Source organism: Homo sapiens, chromosome 10 (genome assembly GCF_000001405.40).
Source record: "Homo sapiens chromosome 10, GRCh38.p14 Primary Assembly".
Classification (NCBI taxonomy): domain Eukaryota; kingdom Metazoa; phylum Chordata; class Mammalia; order Primates; family Hominidae; genus Homo; species Homo sapiens.
Window position 1 is genome coordinate 59,692,843 of NC_000010.11, and position 20,129 is coordinate 59,712,971.

Genomic DNA, 20,129 nt, shown 5'->3' on the forward strand with positions numbered 1-20,129 from the left:
AACAAGTCATTCTTTGGGTGTTTTCATGAAATGTAAGCAAAAATGTAGATAACTTTTTGGGAATTCTAAAACAATAGGTACACAAATATATTTAAAACAAACTGAAGCTCCCAATTCAAATACAAATTAATTACATTTCATTTCATGAGACACATAACACAAGTGATCTTATCTCTAGTTCTTGAGTCCGCCTTCTCCATACCACATGTAATATTCTACTTCTACTTTTGCCTTCCCATTTCTTAAGCAATTTCATTTTATACTGTTCAAGGGGTAAAAAGTGCATCTGCGGTCATCAGCTGCAACAGTGTCAACACACTTATAACTGATTTTTATAACAATTTTTAAGTAGGACAGAACTTTAAAGTAAGTCTCCTCTGGGTCAAAGACCTAAACTGTCAAGTAAATCTACTCTCTTTGTTGATTGATGTATTAGCAAATGTCATCATGTTAACACTAACGTAAGTCCTTTAAAAGTTATAGTCACTAGATCAATTTTGTCACTTTCCAATGACGTTTCAAGATGTCAGTGTATCATTTCTCTTCTAAAGTCAAAAAAATATACTTATATATCAACATCAGTTTTTAAGGAAAAGAAAAAGAATCCACCCTGTTGTGCTTCTAAAGTATTAAAACTCTTTGTAAAATCATATTGAGTCATCTTCATTCTGTATGTCTATATATACACACACACACAATTCTATAAGAATTTTCTACGGTTTGAAATAGCTATTCAAGGGGGTGAACTCCAAATAATAATTTTATGTATTATTTATTTATTTATTTATTTATTTTGAGATGGAGTCTCACTCTTTCGCCCAGGCTGGAGTGCAGTGGCGTGATCTCGGCTCACCGTAAGCTCCGCCTCCCAGGTTCACGTCATTCTCCTGCCGCAGCCTCCCAAGTAGCTGGGGCTACAGGCGCCCGCCACCACACCCGGCTAATTTTTTTGTATTTTTAGTAAGACGGAGTTTCACTGTTAGCCAGGATGGTCTTGATCTCCTGACCTCGTGATCCGCCTGCCTCTGCCTCCCAAAGTGCTGGGATTACAGGCGTGAGCCACTGCACCCGGCCTTTTAATTTTACTTATTTATTTATTTATTTATTTATTTTGAGATGGAGTCTCGCTCTGTCGCCCAGGCTGGAGTGCAGTGGCGCTATCTCGGCTCACCACAAGCTCCGCCTCCCGGGTTCAGGCCATTCTCCTGCCTCAGCCTCCGGAGTAGCTGGGACTACAGGCGCCCGCCACCACGCCCGGTAACTTTTTTTTGTATTTTTAGTAGAGACGGGGTTTCACCGTGTAAATCAGGATGGTCTTGATCTCCTGACCTTGTGATCCACCTGCCTCGGCCTCCCAAAGTGCTGGGATTATAGGCGTGAGCCACCACGCCTGGCCTCCAAATAATAATTTTCGTACAACTGTAAATCCAGTTGTGGTGGCCTTGATCAGATTGTCTCAGAAATCAAGATGGGATTAAGCTACTTTCATGTTTCTGACTACTAGCATACTAAATATTGAAAGTAAGAAAAGAAAAAAGAGGATATGAAAATCAAGGTTTCGATTAAATATCTACATCTTAAAAATGAATGCTATTAGCCAGTGATTAATATATATAGAAAATAGTCTATATATTAAGATAGACTATAGATAGAATACATTAAGTATACTAAATATTCAGCCAGGTGCAGTGGCTCATGCCTGTATTCCAGCACTTTGGGAGGCCAAGGTGGGTGGATCACTTGAGGCCAGGAGTTTAAGACCAGCCTGGCCAACATAGTGAAACCCCATCTCTACTAAAAATACAAAAATTAGCCAGCTGTGATGGTGGGTGCCTGTAATCCCAGCTACTTGGGGGCTGAGACAGGAGAATCGCTTAAACCCAGGAGGTGGAGGTTGCAGTGACCTGAGATCGTGCTACTGCGCTCCAACCTGGGTAACAGAGCGAGACTCCATCTCAAATATATATATATATATACACACACACACACACATATATATACACTAAATATTTTTATATATTATATGTGATAAAAACTGATAAACATATATAGATAATGGATCCAAATGCCCATCAACTGATGAATGGATAAAGTATGATATATATCTACACAATGGACTATTATTCAGCAATAAAAAGGGATGGAATGCTTATACATGCAACAACATGAATAACCTTAAAAACCTTAAGCTAAGTGAGAAAATGTAATTGAAAGAGACCACACATTGTATGATTCCACTTATGTGAAATGTCCAGAACAGGCACATCTGTAGAAACAGAAAGTAGATTAGTGGCTGCCTAGGGCTGGGAGGTTTTGGGGTAGGGAGAAATGGGGAGTGACTGCTAATGCATATGAGGTTTCTTCGGGGGTGATGAAAATGCTCTAAAATTGATGGTAGTGATGGTTGTACTACTCTGAATATACTAAAGCCATCAAGGAATTATACACTTTAAATAAGTGAATTATATGTAATTTATAATTTAATAAATCTGTTACCAAAAAAATTAATGTAAACCCTATGTGAATTTGTCAAAACTCATCATACTGTATGCTTATAATTGTTGAATTTTACTGGATGTAGGTTATAACACAACAAATTTACTTTTTAAAAGATGTATGCTATAAACACACAGTTACAATGACCAAATATATGGCCTGACTTAGAAAATTAACAGCAGCTGCATGAGACTTTTCATAAATACGAGCCCCCCCACCTCGTCAATGGCCCTCCTTGCCACCCACATCCACTCTCCCCACCTATACCTACACCCAAATTTCTAACCTAGTAACAGGTTTGTATGAGGAAAATACAATCAGGAAATTATGTATTGCTTATTTCATTGGTTATTATGGCTCCTCAAACAAAGGAGCAACAGAGCAAAGCTTCTCCTCAGGTGCAGGAATGCCTAAATAGCCTGAAAGAGGAATCTGAACAATGAGAAAAAAACATAAATTCAGGGTTTCCGAGGTCAACATCAGTGTCCTTGGGCTGCTTTAGGTACATATGGAGGAAGGAGATAACAGAAAACTATTTTAAGCAAGTTAACAATTTTTTCAATTACTTCCTAGCTTTCCTTTATTCTTTATTCTTAATTTTACCATGAAGATGGGGTAGACAGGAAGAAGGCACATTTCTCTAGCATCTGGTTCCAGAACGATAGGAACTGAGTAATGTTAAGATCAGAGGCGGTGTGACCCTGTCTCTACAAAAGATTTTTAAAGCCCTCTCCCCTCTCCCCTCTCCCCTCTCCCTCTCCGTCTCCCCACGGTCTCCCTCTCCCTCTCTTGCCACGGTCTCCCTCTGATGCCCAGCCGAAGCTGGACTGTGCTGCTGCCATCTTGGCTCACTGCAACCTCCCTGCCTGATTCTCCTGCCTCAGCCTGCCGAGTGCCTGCGATTGTAGGCGCGGGCCCCCACGCCTGACTGGTTTTCGTATTTTTTTGGTGGAGAGGGGGTTTCGCTGTGTTGGCTGGGCTGGTTTCCAGCTCCTAACCGCGAGTGATCCGCCAGCCTCGGCCTCCCGAGTTGCCGGGATGGCAGACGGAGTTGCGTTCACTCAGTGCTCAATGGTGCCCAGGCTGGAGTGCAGTGGCGTGATCTCTGCTCGCTACAACCTCCACCTCCCAGCTGCCTGCCTTGGCCCCCCAAAGTGCCGAGATTGCAGCCTCTGCCCGGCCGCCACCCCGTCTAGGAAGTGAGGAGCGTCTCTGCCTGGCCGCCCATCGTCTGGGATGTGAGGAGCCTCTCTGCCTGGCTGCCCAGTCTGGAAAGTGAGGAGCGTCTCTGCCCGGCCGCCATCCCATCTAGGAAGTGAGGAGTGTCTCTGCCCGGCCGCCCATCATCTGAGATGTGGGGAGCACCTCTGCCCTGCCGCCCCGTCTGGGATGTGAGGAGTGTCTCTGCCCGGCCGCCCCGTCTGAGAAGTGAGGAGACCCTCTGCCTGGCAACCGCCCCGTCTGAGAAGTGAGAAGCCCCTCCGCCCGGCAGCCACACCGTCTGAGAAGCGAGGAGCCCCTCCGCCCAGCAGCCACCCCGTGTGGGAAGTGAGGAGCGTCTCCGCCCGACAGCCACCCCGTCCGGGAGGGAGGTGGGGGGTCAGCCCCCCGCCCGGCCAGCCGCCCCGTCCAGAAGGGAGGTGGGGGGGTCAGCCCCCCGCCCGGCCAGCCGCCCCGTCCGGGAGGTGAGGGGCGCCTCTGCCTGGCCGCCCCTACTGGGAAGTGAGGAGCCCCTCTGCCCCGCCAGCCGCCCTGTCCGGGAGGGAGGTGGGGGGGTTCAGCCCCCCGCCCAGCCAGCCACCCCGTCCGGGAGGTGAGGGGCGCCTCTGCCCGGCCGCCCCTACTGGGAAGTGAGGAGCCCCTCTGCCCGGCCACCACCCCGTCTGGGAGGTGTACTCAACAGCTCATTGAGAACAGGCCATGATGACAATGGCGGTTTTGTGGAATAGAAAGGGGGGAAAGGTGGGGAAAAGATTGAGAAATCGGATGGCTGCCGTGTCTGTGTAGAAAGAGGTAGACATGGGAGACTTTTCATTTTGTTCTGTACTAAGAAAAATTCTTCTGCCTTGGGATCCTGTTGATCTGTGACCTTACCCCCAACCCTGTGCTCTCTGAAACATGTGCTGTGTCTACTCAGGGTTGAATGGATTAAGGGTGGTGCAAGATGTGCTTTGTTAAACAGATGCTTGAAGGCAGCATGCTCGTTAAGAGTCATCGCCACTCCCTAATCTCAAGTACCCAGGGACACAAACACTGCGGAAGGCCGCAGGGTCCTCTGCCTAGGAAAACCAGAGACCTTTGTTCACTTGTTTATCTGCTGACCTTCCCTCCACTATTGTCCTGTGACCCTGCCAAATCCCCCTCTGCGAGAAACACCCAAGAATGATCAATAAAAAAAATAAAATAAAAAATAAATAAATAAATAAATAATTAAAAAAATAAAAAAATAAAAAAAAGATCAGAGGCTTCTTAAATCAAGTTTGTATCTAAGTTCTGGTCCAGTCTGTGCTACTTAGCATGGGATTTTAAGCCAATTGTTTGTTGGCTTTGAGCCTCAGTTTTCTCATTTGTAAAATAGGATAAGAGTGGGTTGCAAATTCAAAGCTCACTGCTGGGCACACAGTAAAAAAAAAAACAAAAAACAAAACAAAACAAAAAACCCTCAATAAATGTTAGCTATTACTTTCACAACCTTAGGGTTTTTTTCTGGTATTGAAGAATCTGGAACTTAAGGGATTTCTGGTAATTTCATAGCCATTGTCTAAGGAGTAGTTACTGGTTACCCCAGAATTCTAGAACAACAACTGGTTACTGGATTATTTAGAAATCTAGGGCTTTGGAAACTTTTAAATCTTTAGTTATTTCTTAATACTTAGAACACTTAAACAAAACTTTACAAAACAAAAGAGCAGAATAATTAGATCCTTTCAGGAGAATATGACTTTTTTTTCCTAAGCACACTGGACCATAGAGGAAGACCAAAGGAATGTACAGTTGCCTGCTCCTTCCTGACTTGCTGTATTTGACTCTGTCCCCACTGGTGGTGGCAATGCTATTAACCCCACACTTTAACGTGGCAAATCCCCAGAATCTGTTGGCTGGTCTCTGGCTAGAGAATGAGCACAGTTTCACCCTTATGGCTCCAGAAAGAGCAAGAACACACCACTGCCAGCCAGAAGAGAGAAAAGTCTTGTTCTGTCTCTTTCCCATTGTCCCAAATAGCCAAGCACAGGTTCAACCACCCCAAATGCCACCCTTCTGCTGTGCAGCAGCCAAGGAAAAGACCCAGGAGGAGCAGCTCCAAGAACCTCTGGGCAGTCAGTGCCCAGATACTTGCCCCAATTCTTTGTGTCCAAGCCACACTCAGCTGACAAAAGCCAACACTTTGTCTCTCTTTTTTTTTTTTTCTTTTTTTTTGAGCAGAGTTTCACTCTTGTCACCCAGGCTGGAGTGCAATGGCAGGATCTTGGCTCATTGCAACCTCCACCTCCCGGGTTCAAGCAATTCTCCTGTCTCAGCCTCTCGAGTAGCTGGGATTACAGGCATCCGCCACCATGCCCAGCTAATGTTTTTTCTTGTATTTTTAGTAGAGATGGGGTTTCACCATGTTAGCCAGGCTTGTCTCGAACTCCTGACCTCAGTTGATCTGTCTGCCTCAGCCTCCCGAAGTGCTGGGATTACAACACTTTGTCTCTTAAGCACTGCACAGTCGAGTTTATCTTTGCATTTTTCATACCCTAGTGTTCTGCTCTTTCCCCAATTCTGCTTTATCCGCAGTCCCCAACAGAACAGGCATGGGCCTGGCAGGAAAACCCCTGAGAAGATTCTAACAAAGATAATGGTGTGAATGATGATAATTATAAGGCTGTCAGGATAATGACTGTCACCTATTAATTTGCTCAAATTAACCAAACAACCTCTCAGTGTGGGAAAGGTAGCAGGAGAGAGGCTGTGATCATTTGGTAAAGGTATTATGTAGTTCAAAAGAATGGCAGGTTGAATTTCCACTTCTCTGTGTTTTCAATAACTACAGTCTCATACGAGTACACACACAGATACTTACATCTGTGAGTACATGAGAACGTCTATTCTAGAAAATTTCGCATAAGGAATAAGCACACTGGCTGGTGTCTTGGATAACCCGAGTGTACATCGCAGCTCTGGTACCAGCCAAGAGTGTGACCTTCAGCAAGTTACTTAAATAGCTCTCTGCCTCTTTTTCTTCATCTGAAAAGTGAGGGGAATGACAGTATTTACCTCATCAGATTGTGGTAATAATTATATGAGTTAATTTCTGTAAAGCACTTAGCCCAGTGCCTGGCACATAGTAATCTCAATATGAAGTATCACTCTTTTTTTTTTTAAATCCCTTTAGACATAACTGGTAGTCAGAAAAAGTTATTTTATCCTCATATAGCTCCCCCAAAATCTTTAAGGTACTTTCCCTATAAAGACCTCTGGCCAGAACATCCTCGACTCTCCTCCTTCCCTGCCATAATAGGACATCTTCTGTTAGATACTTGGTTCTAGGTTTTCATTATTTCAGATTCAACTGCACTGAAAACACACACACACACACACACACACACACACACACATACACACATTAGTACCACATCTCTCCCCCCACCCAAAAATAATAACAGGATATGGTAATGGCATTTTTCAACATCTCTTAGAATAATTTCCTGATGGAAAGAAAAGTCAGCAAATAAGAAGAAAGTCTCAGTGAGGAAAGACCAGAATGACAATCATAGGCTGCTCTTAGATCATTGAAAAGCCCCCAGGTTAGTGACAGCCAAAAAAAGACAAAATCAAGAAGCACTGAAGTCCAAACAAGGTTTGCTTTTGTTTCCTTTCTTTCCTTCTTTCCTTTTCTCCTCAAATCAGGAAACCACATAGCTGGCTACCACCCCCTTTCCAGATGTTGCAGTACAGTTATTAGGGTACCTGTTGGTAGAATGAAAGCTGACAAATGCTGACTTTGTCTCATAAGCACTGCACAGTCAAGTTCATCTTTGCATTCTTCATACCCCAGTTTGCTGCGGTTTCCCCAGTTCAGAGACCCCTTCCTTATCCCAAAGACTCCTAGGATCTCCCTTTCAAAACCAGTTTGCAAAAAAAGGTGGTAATTCAATGTGCATCAAAAAGCAAATGAAGAACTCCATTTTAAGTTTGTATTTCACATGAGCATGTTTCTAGTAACCATCCAAGCATATGCTAAAACCTACAGGGGATTTCAAGCCTGGCCATGAAGCACAGGCACGGAGCTTCGCATAAAGTAACTATTTAGTAAGTGTTCAATCTTGTTACTGTAGTTGCATCTTTCAAAGGTTTTCTTAGAAAAGCATGAAAGGGTACTCTCCCTACCTCTGCTTCCTCACCTTCTCATCATTCCTCTACTCAGTGATTTCTGGCTTCTGATGCACCTAGACAATAAAAAGTGTTTCACTATGGCATTCCCTGCATCCTCACAGTTTGTCAGCACAGCCTCCTCATTCTTGACACTGTTTACGTCTCTGTTTTTATGAACCACTGCCCCCTTGGCTTTCGTGAGCCCACTGCAAGACTCTCCCAGGCTCTCTCTAACGCCACCAAGTGATCACAGATACTCAAGCAAGAAGTCTGAAGTCTCCATCCCCAGCTCTGACCTCTCTTCAGAACTCCAGATCCACATTTCTAACGAATTTTTCACCATTTTCCATGTCAAGATCTCAACTGGATGTGCCCAGGCCCCTCAAACTCAATTCTTAATTTCTCCTCCTGAATTTTACCTGGAAAACTGTCATGACCGTACTTCCATTTGCCCAAGCACAAAGCCTCCACTTCATTGCATTCCAGCTCTTCCTTGAATCCCAGCTACCCGTCTCCAGCATCCTAGGGTCCCCCAAAGAGTTCTGCAATCAGACTCTTCCTCTCCATCTTTTCTGCGAATGCCTGGACCATCACAACTGCCTACAGGTGGATCCCTCAGCTTACACTGTCTCCCTGCTGCAGGGCATCTGCCGAGCTGCTCCCAGATCCATCTTCCTAAACCGTGGCTCTCTGGTCATCTCAATTCTGCTTCCAATTTTTCAGATCCTTCCATGGTTCCTCATTACCCACAGTTTACCCATTAGCAGAGCACAAGGTTTTATTTCATTAATTACAAAAGGACACTAAGATATCAATGACAATCATTCTTTCCCTCATGAAGCTTACAGTTGTCCATCACTAAAACTATAATGTTATTCAAAAATTATAAACAAAAATGAAAGCATTGGTTTTATAAAACCATGTTGTGTTCATATGACATCAGATATCCAGATCTTTAAATAACTAGCCAGTTACCTGATTCTTTCTTCTAAAAGTCTGTAATGCTAGGATGTCCAACAAATCTGTGCCCCCCAACCCACAGCTCACGACTCAGCATTTTAGCTATGCTCCCTCCCTCGTCCAAGCTTTGACTCTTCAGTTCCTGTTAGTAGCTGGAGGCAGCTGGAATGCCTTTCTCCAATTCTACTCTTCCTTCAAGACTGAGCCCAAACTGTTTCTCTCATCTTGATGCCATCTGTGAAACTCTACATCAGTCATTCCTCCTCCAAGGTCTCACACCGATTTAAGCATCTCTGCCATAATATTTATTACAATAGATTGTTATTTGTTAAGGGACTAGCCCACAAGTCTATCACATATGCCTAGCACTAAGAATTATGATTGGCACATAGGGAAAGCTCAACAAATCTGTATGGAATGAATGAATGAATGCATTGAAAGCCTACTTACCTAAAATCTCCTATATATTCAAATGATTAATCAAAGATCTTTCATTCAACAAAATGAACTGAGTGCATTTAGAAGGCATTGTGGGGTGAAGGAGATGTGGCCCCTTCCTCTCTGGAGCTTAGAGTCTGTCTCCACCATTGAATCTGAAAAGCTAGCCAAATACATGAGTAAAAAAATTAAAATCCAAATCTTTTACCAATATAACATCGGATGACATGGCTGTAATGATCAAATAATTACCTGATTCTTTCCGATTCGGTTTTAAATGTTAAACATTCAGTGATGGTTAACATACTCGCTGATGTGAAAGGGTGGGGGCTGACTCATTACTGGGGCTAGGACAAGGGCAAATCGTGGCTCAAAACTGTCATTCAGAGCCTCTTGTTTGTCCTCTGTAGTCAGCTCAGTCACAGTAAGGTATGTGGTTTCTCTCAACATGTCATTCTTGTTTTATGTACTCAAATGCTTCCTTCTCATTGTCAACATCTGCTCTGAACTTTAAGTCAGGCCCACTTGTTTGTAGAATAGCTCATTGACATAAAGCAAATAACACATCCCAGCCAGTCAAATCCAAGAAACTCAGCTTTAAAAACACACTTGTATTAAAGAATTTCACTGCAAATCCATTCATTATGTTTACCTTTTTATTTTTTGGATCCATATAAATAGCTTTTTAAAAAAATCGAAATTGCCATATTAACTTCTACAAGTCAAACACTTAATTTATCCATCTAGTTGAAATTCAAGAACATCCCCAGATAGCTCTGTTAAGGAAGAGGGACAGAATACGTGGTGAAATATTGCCAGGTTAAAGACAATGAAGATTGCTTTGTCTGAACACCATCAGCCAAGCCTATAAATACCCCTCATCCAAGTGGAAACCAAAATTGATTCTTTCACATTAAGATGGAAAGGCAGAACAGGAAGTAAAATATTTAGAGGAGCAGTTCTGAATCTTGGAACTAAATCACACTAATCGTTCCTGAAAGGGACAATAAATACAGGTAATTAACTTCTGGAGCCTCTGATTTTTTGAGACAGGTCCTTGCTGTGTTGCCAGGCTGGGGTGCAGTGGTGCAATCACAGCTCATCACTGCAGCCTTGACCTCCCAAGCTCAAATGATCCTGCTACCTCAGCTTCCCAAATAGCTAGGACTACAGGCAGGTGCCACTATGACCGCTAATTTTTCATTTTTTGTAGAGACGAAGTCTCACTATGATACCCAAGCTGGTCTCAAACTGCTGGGCTGAAGCAATTCTCCTATCATGGCCTCCCGTGGTATGAGGCCTCTGAATTTTATCAATAGTGCGGCTATGAAAAAAGGATATTTTTTAATCTTCGAGGCCTTGTAGATTTTTTATAGTCTAGCATTTGCCAAAGAGCTCCTCCAAAGCTGTCATAATTTGGATACAGGGAGTACTACCATATGTTTTAGCAAAAGGGGAAGAAATTGGCTATATAGGATCACAAAAGTCTGAAGTCAGAAGGAATTTTGGAAACTTTGGCACCACTCAGGCCAAATCTGGCCAAGTCTGGTCTCTTAATGTGTTTCGTTTGGCGGACTCAATGTTTTTGGTTTTGTTTTTAGTAAATTTGAATGAATTGCTGATTTTTTTTTTTCGTTTTTTTTTTGAGACGAAGTCTTGCTGTGTCGCCCAGGCCGGAGTGCAGTGGCGAGATCTCGGCTCACTGCAAGCTCCACCTCCCGGGTTCACGCCATTCTCCTGCCTCAGCCTCCCAGGTAGCTGGGACTACAGGTGCCCGCCACCATGCCTGGCTAATTCTTTTGGTATTTTTTTAGTAGAGACGGGGTTTCGCCCTGTTAGCCAGGATGGTCTCAATATCCTGACCTCGTGATCCGCCCGCCTCTGCCTCCAAAGTGCTGGGATGACAGGCGTGAGCCACTGCGCCCGGCCAAATTGCTGATGTTTTAACACTAGAATAGATTTCACATAAAAATCTGAACTTTAGGATTCTCTCAAAACATTGAAAGTTCTGATAACACTGGGCCCTCATTCTTACATAACAATTAACTGGAACTGAGTAAGTCTGGCTCTCATTGGATGAGGCATTTTCTCTCCAGGTCCTTCTACTCCCTAATATCTCCCTGACGCAGGACTAACGTTGCCTTGCATTTAGTTTCACCTGTGCTATCCCCCATACCTCCACACACCTACTACCCAACCACTGCCCCCAGTCTTCTTTGCTCATTTATGATGCCTGTCTCATCCGGGTAAACCTTGTGAAGATTTGTGATTGCCACCACTTATCTTATTCAATCCCTCAATCTACCCATGAGGAAACTGAAGTTGAGAGACGTCATGCTAAAGGAGAGAACAGTTTCAGGATCCTTTACTCACCAATCCATTGAAGAGTCATCTATTTCTAAGTCCTACTCTCAAACTCAAAAGTGAAAATAGCAGAATCTGTAAACCACTCAGAGCCTGAGAAAAGATGGAAAGGTCCAAATATTTAACAAAGTAAATACAAAAATAAAGATGTAACAGTTAAATTTAGGCAGAGTGAGGGCCAGACACTGAGATACATTGGTATCATCATCTCCCTGTGTCCCACACTGTTACCAGGGTCACTGGACTGCCAGGCTCTCATTTCAGCTTCTCTCTACTCCACACAACCCTCTCCTCCAGAGCTTGGCCTGAGAATAGTGTTCTGGTGAAGAAATCTATGATAATAACACTGACGTGTTCTTTCAGTTAGCAAACGTTTTGCACAATTTATACATGATCATGTGATGTTTGATCTGTTGTCTAAATACATACTTTAGTATGTCATGTACAAAGTAGTATGTTTACTGTATTACCTTCATAATAAAAAAATCAAGACACACAGAAAAATATATGGGATGCTGAAATGCAAAAAGATCTGGTGATTTGGGGAGTTTATTGGGAATCATGAGAATATTGGTAATCAACATTCTTCCAGAGGCCTGGTCTTCACATCTTGTGCCATCACTGTTGCTAACATTTTTTTTCGTCCCACATCCTGTCTCTTCTCAGAGTTTAAGAGTTTCTTTTGGGTGGGTCATAAAAATACGAGATCCCATGAGTAGTTTAAAAGTGTATTAAAACATTAAAATATGTCCCGTCACTGAAAGTGTAAGATAAAATTAATCCAAATGATGAAAATTAAGATGCAAAGAAAAAAAAAACAGAGAAACAGTCCTGCTACAGGAATCAGGCCCAGTTTCTATCTAATATTAACAATAATTATCATACACTATGCCCCGTTACATGATAGTACAATAGTTCAAAGCACAGACTCTGGGGGTAGACTCCTTGGTCCCTTTACTTAGTTGTGTGACCTTGTAAAAATTCTCAGTCTAAGATCAAAATAATGCCTCCCTAGATAACATAAGGCTATGTGGCTCCCTTGACATAACATGTTTAATAAACATTAATTATTATTATTAATGATTGCAACAGAGAATAGAAAATGACTATACACTGCATATTGCCCCAGGAAAGTGGAAGTGTTTTTCTATCGGAAGTTTTAATCAAGCTAAGAGCTATTAATATCATAGGAATGCAGGTTTGGGGGTAAAACACTGTTGGATTTAGATAAAGCATTGAAGGATATTAGGAATACATTATTCTTTTACTGATTGAAAGAAACTGATAGGAAGTGAATATTGAGATTTTAATCAACTACTTATTTTAGAAGGAAACTCATAAAACTGAAATTAAAGGCAAAAAGTACAGTTAAGGATGTTGATACTGTTTATGTAAATATACCAATAATGTTCAATCATATTTTAATTTCTTAGCATGACATGTCATAGTCTCTATAATCTAGCCCCATCCCACCTCCCAGCCTTATCTGTCTTAAATTCCAGGTTTCAGCTACTCCAAACTGCTTTGCTTCCTATAAACACACTAGACTTCCTTATCTCTGTGCTATTCTCTTGTTCCAGCAGGCCTCTTTTCCATCAAGGAAATCCTCTTCCTAAATTGCTACACCCACCCCACAACTTTTCTTCACACTTAGCCTTGAATGAACCTCTCCTTTCCTTTGTCATTCAGTAGCACACTATTGATGTTCTACCCTATGACTCCATTTATACTATCTTGTAATGCAGATATTTGTAAATCTATTTTTCTCACTAAACATTTGGAGGCAGGGACCATGTGTTCTTTTTTTTGAACTTGGTGTTTTGTTATAGTTCAGTCTCATCATCCATAAGGGTTACTTTGGTGTCTGCCAAGAACCTCCAGAAGAAAAGGCTAAGTAGCTCAAAATACATACATTTTTGCAATCATTAATTAAAATTGAAGTCATTAAGTGATACTATCTTGGAAAGCCATGATGGAAAACAATACAGTGGTTCCTCAGAAAAATTAAAAATGGAACTACCATATGATCCAGCAATCTCACTATATACCCAAAGGAAAGCATTATATTGAAGAGATAGCTGCACTTCCATGTTCCTTGCAGCATTATTCACCATAGCCAAGATATGGAATCAACCTAAATGTCTATAAGTGGATGAATGGATGAAGAAATGTGATACACACACACACACACACACACAATAGGAGACTAATTCAGACTTGAAAAAGAAGGAAATCAGTCAGGCGTGGTGGCTCACGCCTGTAATCCCAGCACTTTGGGAGGCTGAGGCGGGTTGATCACCTGAGGTCAGAAGTTCGAGACCAGCCTGGCCAACATGGTGAAACCCCATCTCTACTAAAGATACAAAAAATTAGCCAGGCATGGTGGCACGCACCTGTAATGCCAGCTACTCGGGAGGCTGAGGCAGAAGAACTGCTTGAACCCGGGAGGCAGAGGTTGCAGTAAGCCAAGATTGAGCCACTGCACTCCAGCCTGGGTGACAACAGCAAAACTCCATCTCAAAAAAAAGAGTGAAACTCCATCTCAAAAAAAAAAAAAAAAAGGGAAGTCAGCTGGGCACAGTGGCTCATGCCTGTAATCCAGCTTGGGAACCATGGCGAAACCCCATCTCTACAAAAACACAGAAATTACCTGGGTGTGGTGGCACACGCTTGTAGTCCCAGCTACTCGGGAGGCTGAGGTGCGAGGATCACCTGAGCCTGGTGAAGTCGAGGCTGCAGTGAGAAGAAAGAGAGAGAGAGAAGAGAGAGAAGAAAAGAGGGAAGGAAAAGAGGGGAGGGCAGAGGAGGGGAGGGGAGAGGAGGGAAGGGAAGGGAAGGGAAGGGAAGGGAAGGGAAGGGAAGGGAAGGGAAGGGAAGGGAGGGGAAGGGAGGGGAAGGGAAGGGAAGGGAGACTTGAATCTAAAATTGTTGAACTCAGAGAATAGAGTAGAACCCTGGTTACCAGTAGGTAGGGTTGGGGTGAAGAGATGTTTGTCAAAGGATACAAAATTTCAGTTAGATAGGAGCAATAAGTTTAAGAGATCTATTGTGCAACATAGTGACTATAGTCACTATAGTCACAATTTTGAAAATTGTTAAGATGGTAGATTTGAAGTGTTCTCACCACACCAAAAAAAAAAAAAAAACAAAAGATAAAAATGTGACGTAATACATATAGGTTAATTATGTTGGTTGGGCCATTCTACAATGTATTACTGTTTCAAAATACTGTGTTGTGTGCATCATAAATATATACAATTTTTATTACCTAATTAATTAGGGGTTTGAAAGATTGAGGTAAGGAAGTAAAACTTGAAAATGTGACCACATCTCTGTAGTTGTCATCCTCTAGCTTGAGTTGCATGGCCAGATCCACCCCAGACCACCATAATGTGTCCTGATAAAGATTCAGACACCAACCAATTCACACCACCTTTTCAGACTCAAAGTCAGAAGCCAGAAAAGATTTCCTAATGTCTTGATCTACCTCCCCATATCTTTGGCTCCTCCCAATGCTCTTCCTATGGATATGAAGGATACCTGTTATTCCACTTGCCTACACAAAAAATGGAAGAAACCAGTAGGGATGTTATTAGGGGGTCGGTGGTGCTGAAAGTCTGAGTTGTTGCAAAATTGCAGGTTAAATTATTTTATCTAATTCCTACTTGCGAGGACTTTTTTTTGATGGTGGAGGGAGAGCGGGACTGGTTTCTGGCAATGATATGGGTACTAACCATGTTTTCTGCATTTACATATTTATTATTAATTATTGCAACAGATAATAGAAAATGACTTTACTCTGCATTTGGTCCAGGAAAGTGGAAGGGTTTTCCTATTAGAAGTTTTAAAAGAAGCTATAATCATGCAACAAATAATCATCCTTTCTCTTCGGAATCTTCTCTAGCTTCCTCAGCCCTCTGCCTAAACCTGCCTGAAGAATTTCTCGAAGCTGAAGCCAACTCAAATATAAGAAACTGTTAGGGCATACCGATTTACAGAATTTGATGGAACAACGGAAAATCCTGGGTGCAGGGAATGGGAGAATCCACCTTCAATATGAACTGTTATTCAGTTAATTCAAGATTTTTAAAAAACACATCAAAACTGTAGCCTAGAAAATTGACCAAAAATGTTATATCGAATAACTTACTATATAAGTAATATATTTAGCGTAAATCCTGACTAAACTTCGGGGATAGTTTGTGTTGGATAGACTAGGCACCCAGAAAACAAGGTAAAGCATTGATTTGCTTTTGACAGCCAAGTTTGTTCGTGGTTATCAGCTCTCTGGAAAGCCTCTGGGCGCTGCTGAAGCCAGAGCAGGTTACCTAGGGCGAACCAAAGATGGGGCATTAAGCACCAAGTCCTCCCAAGTGCTGGCTGAGGGTCCAGGTGGGCGCGGTGCCGGTGCCTCCTGCGGCGGTGGCGAAGGCTGGGCTCCCGCGCTCGCCCAGGGCTGCCGGGTGGTGCTGAACCTGGCGCCAACGTGCAGAATCCGCCGGCCCTGCGCGCTGCGCTCCACGTAGGTCAGGAGTACCCGCGGCGCCCCATTCCCAACCCTCCGGGGGCACCTGGTTGCTCGCGCTCCGGACCAAGGCAGTTGGAGGCCTTTCGGTCCTCTGGGAAATGGAGGCCCACCTGCATCACATGCACCTCTCCCTGCTCTTCCACCAGCAACCCTGGAAGCTCTCTGGAGTCCAGAGGCAGCTCTCTGGGGGGCCACCGTACCACCCCCAGGACCCCCTCCCTCTCTTTCAACTCCGTACAAAATGCCGCCTTCGGATTCCCGGGAAAACTTGCCCACTTTGTAGAAGCACCCCATCAAAAAGGGGGCGGCGAGGGGCGGGCGCACCGTGGACACTCGAAGCCCCCGGCACACACCCCAGACAAAAGCCCGGTTCCATGCTGCTCCACCGCCCCCTCCTACTGCTCCGAGTCGGAGTTACTTCTTGCCTCTAGGACGCTGGGCAGCAGGGGCTGCTGCCCACCTTTGGAACCCTCCCCGCAAGCTCCAGCCCTTTACCTGAGTCCCGGCCTCGGCGGGGCCTCCGGTGCTCAGCACCCGGCTCAGTGCCCCGTGCGGCCGGGCTGGTGGTGTGGTGGGGATCGCGGCCGCCGCTCTCCCCTGCAGCTCCGGGCCAGCCGGGCGGCTATTTATCCGAGCCAGCTGCGGCCCCGGCCCCTGCCGGAGTATTAGGCAATCGGTCCCGCTACGCGCTGCCCCGGGAGCCGCCGCCCTCTGCCCCCACAGACCCGCAGCGGCGGCGGCCACATGGAGCTGGGGAGCCGGCCCCCTTCTCTGAGCTCCACCTTCTCTTTCGCCTTCTCCTCCCCGGGGTTTTCCCTGCTGTCTTTTTCTCCCTTGTCTCTCTTTGCGGGGCACCCCGGCCAGTCTGAACCGGTTGTGACTGCGCGGGTGGTTGGGGGAAGGAGGAGGAGGAGGCGGAGGAGATGGAGGCGGAAAAGCGGGCGGTAGGGGCGCTGCGCCTGCTCCCGCTGCTCCCGGCCCGGCCAGGAGTAGGGAGGGCACTGCCCGAGCCGCGGCCCCGGCCCTACCAGGCCTGGAGCCACCAAAGCCACGAGAGAGGTGGGCGCCGTCGGCCAGGCGCCCTCTCGGTGCGCACACACGCGCGTCCCCAGGCGCCGCTGTGCCCCCGCCGCCCACCACGTGCCCTGGCCAAGCCCGCCAAGGGCCGTGCGCGTTTGGGGGGAGCCGGGGTGTACAAATGAATGCGAGTGTTCCTTGGTCTCCCTGGCTCCCGGGGCCGCTGGCGCCCTCCTGGCCGGAGCTGTATGCTCAGCTGGCAGTGGTCCCGGAGAAACGGGCACCAGAACTTTGTGGAGTCCGTGATCCTGGGAAGTGAGGAGTGAGGATGCCAAGTACAGTCCTTTGTGACAGCTCCGCGGGAAAGGAGGGCGTCCTGCGGTGCACACACACACACACACACACACACACACACACACACACACACACACACAGGCTGCTTCTAAGGACGTTCAGTCTGTCCTGCAGTTGAACTGCACTAACAATACTACCATTGGCAATACTATCTTTGGTAATGGGCTTGCGCGCAGAGATGGATGGCTGTTTTATCCCTCAGTCACTGCAGCAGCTGGGGGCTGTCCATAGGTACCAGTGGTTCGCCGGCCGTGGGAAACCTCCAAAGTGATATGCACTTTTTGTGTTCCTCTGTGTTTTTTCTGGGAAGCCGCACCACACTTTCTACTTCTTAAAGGGGACTGCGGCCATCAACCACCTTGATGAGAACTTCCTTTATACACTGAAGTGACAGGTCCTGGCCTAGACGAAGACTCTACACCTGGCAAAGGGTTGGTTTCAGAAGTGCTGATCAAGCTGCTGAGCCTCTGTTTCCTTGTCTATGAAATTACAAGAATCTTGCCTGTATCATGGAGTTTGTGTGAGATGAGAGTTTAAAAAACCTGTGGAGCCTAGGCAACCATGTCATGTTTTCTTACAGCACAAATGTGGTGGAGGTTCAGCCCTTTTGGCCCCCATCAGTCCTTTCTACTCAATTTATTGACTTTCAGGTTAGAGTGAAGAGAATGACCACTGCTAGTCAATAGTATTTTGTTTTGTTCTAAGAAGGAAAAAGAGAAGAGGGGAAAAGTAACAGTGAGAATGAGAGCAACATGGTCCCAAGAATAAGTTCTGGAAGGAAAAATGGAGAAACTGTACTGTCAACACCATAAAAAACTTACTTCTAAAGAGGCAAGGGAACACAATAGGGGATTCTTAGGCTGTATTTTTTTACCTGGTTTATGGTTACTCAAGTGCGTTCACTTTGTGGTAATGCGTTGACCTATACACTGATAATTTGTGTTCTTTTCTCTATGTTTCAATAAAATAGTTTTTTTGAGATGGAGTCTTGCTCTGTTGCCCAGGCTGGAGTGCAGCGGCGTGATCTCAGCTCATTGCAACCTCCATCTCCCAGGGTTCAAGCAATTCTCCTGCCTCAGCCTCCTGAGTAGCTGGGATTACAGGCACGCAGCACTATACCTGGCTAATTTTTGTATTTTTAGTGGATATGGGGTTTCACCACGTTGGCCTGGTCTTGAACGCCTAACCTCAAGTGATCCACCGCCTTGGCCTCCAAAGTGCTGAGATTACAGGTGTGAGCCACCGCACCCAGCCAATGAAAGGTAATTTTAGAAAGTCTGTCTTTGATTCAAATACTTCCTAAGCACCAGAGCACATGTTATCTTGATTGTTGCTCAAACCAATCAATGTATATGAACTTATGTTTTGGGGACAAGGAAATTGTGCCTGGAAAATATTCTACATCCACCAACTGGTTTCTGAAATTGACACATGCCTGTTATCACTTGCACCAAGTTTTCCCAGATTTCTTTTAGAAGAGTATATAGCCAGCACTTCCATTTCTACTCAGGCCAGCCCTTGCCTATCAACTAAGAACCAAAAATGAGCTTGTGCTCACACACAGGCATGCTCCCAGCTTTAGAGAGAAAGACTGGTTCTCAGGGGTCATAAACTCAGATGGCTGCAGGGCCAGGCTTCTAATGTAATGAATGAAGTGGCTAGAAGGGAGCTTGGAGGAATCAGAGAGCTAGAATCTTGCCCTGGGGCAGTAGACACTTGGCTAAGGGGACTGCTGCCAGGCTGGAATGTGAAAATTGCCCCCATCATCTGCAGGGGAGCATTAAGACATGTAAAAGAACTCAGAAATCTAGTTGAGTCCTGACACTTTACTTCCAAATGGAATTTGACCGGGAGAAGCTCAAGATGTGCTCCAGATCACCCTGGGGGTGAGGGAGGCAGATAAGTCAGCAGAGACAAAGCTAAAACCACCCCTCTATGCCCCCACTTTTTTCCATCCAGTGACAAAAAAAAAATGCAAGCTGTGCTTGCCAAGCGAGAATCAGATAAGTTAGATATTGCTGGCTTTACAGCTCTGGCCAGCATCTGCCCTTTGGGTCACTCTCCAGGCTCAGAAATAGTTTCAACAAGATGGAAAAAGGCAGGCTATTACATAAGCCAGATTTAAATGAACCCGGCTTTGGAAGAAAAGGAACCTGAGAAATGCTTTTAAAGAAAAGTTGATATAGAGGTGTCAACTAAATAAAAGAGTTCATTTTTTGCTTTTCATTGTTATTATTAGGTATTTATTAAGAACTTCATAATTTGTGAAATGTTCTAAGACTTCCCTTTCTTAAGCTATTTGCCACCTTAGTCCTTTAGAGAATGAGATGGAGAAATTAACCTAAAATTGTTCTTTGGTCCTTATCCCAGCATGGAAGCAGAAACATGAAACACAGAGGGCAGAGCAAGGTGTCATCAGGTCAGGGGAAGGTGGTACACTTGACCAGCACCTGAGTCACTGGTCCAGTGCTTGCCTGGCTGACCAGACTTTCCTCCCTGACTTACCACACCATTCAGGTTTCTTTTCTTTTGACATGATGTTCTTCTCCTGTTATGAATGACAGCATAGCTACAAAGACACTACACTTTGTGTTAAAAACAATTAAAGAAAACTGAT

At 44.7% G+C, this 20,129-nt stretch overlaps 1 protein-coding gene across 12 annotated transcripts in view, besides 4 other annotated features; it reads right to left on the reverse strand.

Moving 5' to 3' along the window:
* Positions 1–17,237, reverse strand: part of SLC16A9 (solute carrier family 16 member 9) — a 59,316-nt gene extending 42,079 nt beyond the window's left edge. For 5 of the 12 annotated variants that reach the window (NM_001323980.2, NM_194298.3, XM_017015883.2 and 2 more), the window contains exon 1: positions 16,637–17,008. The gene's annotated coding sequence lies outside the window, so the exon portion shown is untranslated. Of the gene's footprint in view, positions 1–7,866; positions 13,661–14,263; positions 14,347–16,636; positions 17,009–17,169 lie in introns of those variants that run through there. The other 7 variants (NM_001323978.2, NM_001323981.2, NM_001323977.1 and 4 more) reach the window with 6 other exon arrangements.
* Positions 16,151–16,350: an enhancer, noted in NCBI's record as "active region_3387". NCBI's record gives its function as "activates an Ori minimal core promoter by ATAC-STARR-seq in GM12878 lymphoblastoid cells {active_cell/tissue: GM12878}" and the evidence as "EXISTENCE:reporter gene assay evidence [ECO:0000049][PMID:35858748]".
* Positions 16,581–16,640: a silencer, noted in NCBI's record as "silent region_2382". NCBI's record gives its function as "represses an Ori minimal core promoter by ATAC-STARR-seq in GM12878 lymphoblastoid cells {active_cell/tissue: GM12878}" and the evidence as "EXISTENCE:reporter gene assay evidence [ECO:0000049][PMID:35858748]".
* Positions 16,781–16,850: a silencer, noted in NCBI's record as "silent region_2383". NCBI's record gives its function as "represses an Ori minimal core promoter by ATAC-STARR-seq in GM12878 lymphoblastoid cells {active_cell/tissue: GM12878}" and the evidence as "EXISTENCE:reporter gene assay evidence [ECO:0000049][PMID:35858748]".
* Positions 17,081–17,350: a silencer, noted in NCBI's record as "silent region_2384". NCBI's record gives its function as "represses an Ori minimal core promoter by ATAC-STARR-seq in GM12878 lymphoblastoid cells {active_cell/tissue: GM12878}" and the evidence as "EXISTENCE:reporter gene assay evidence [ECO:0000049][PMID:35858748]".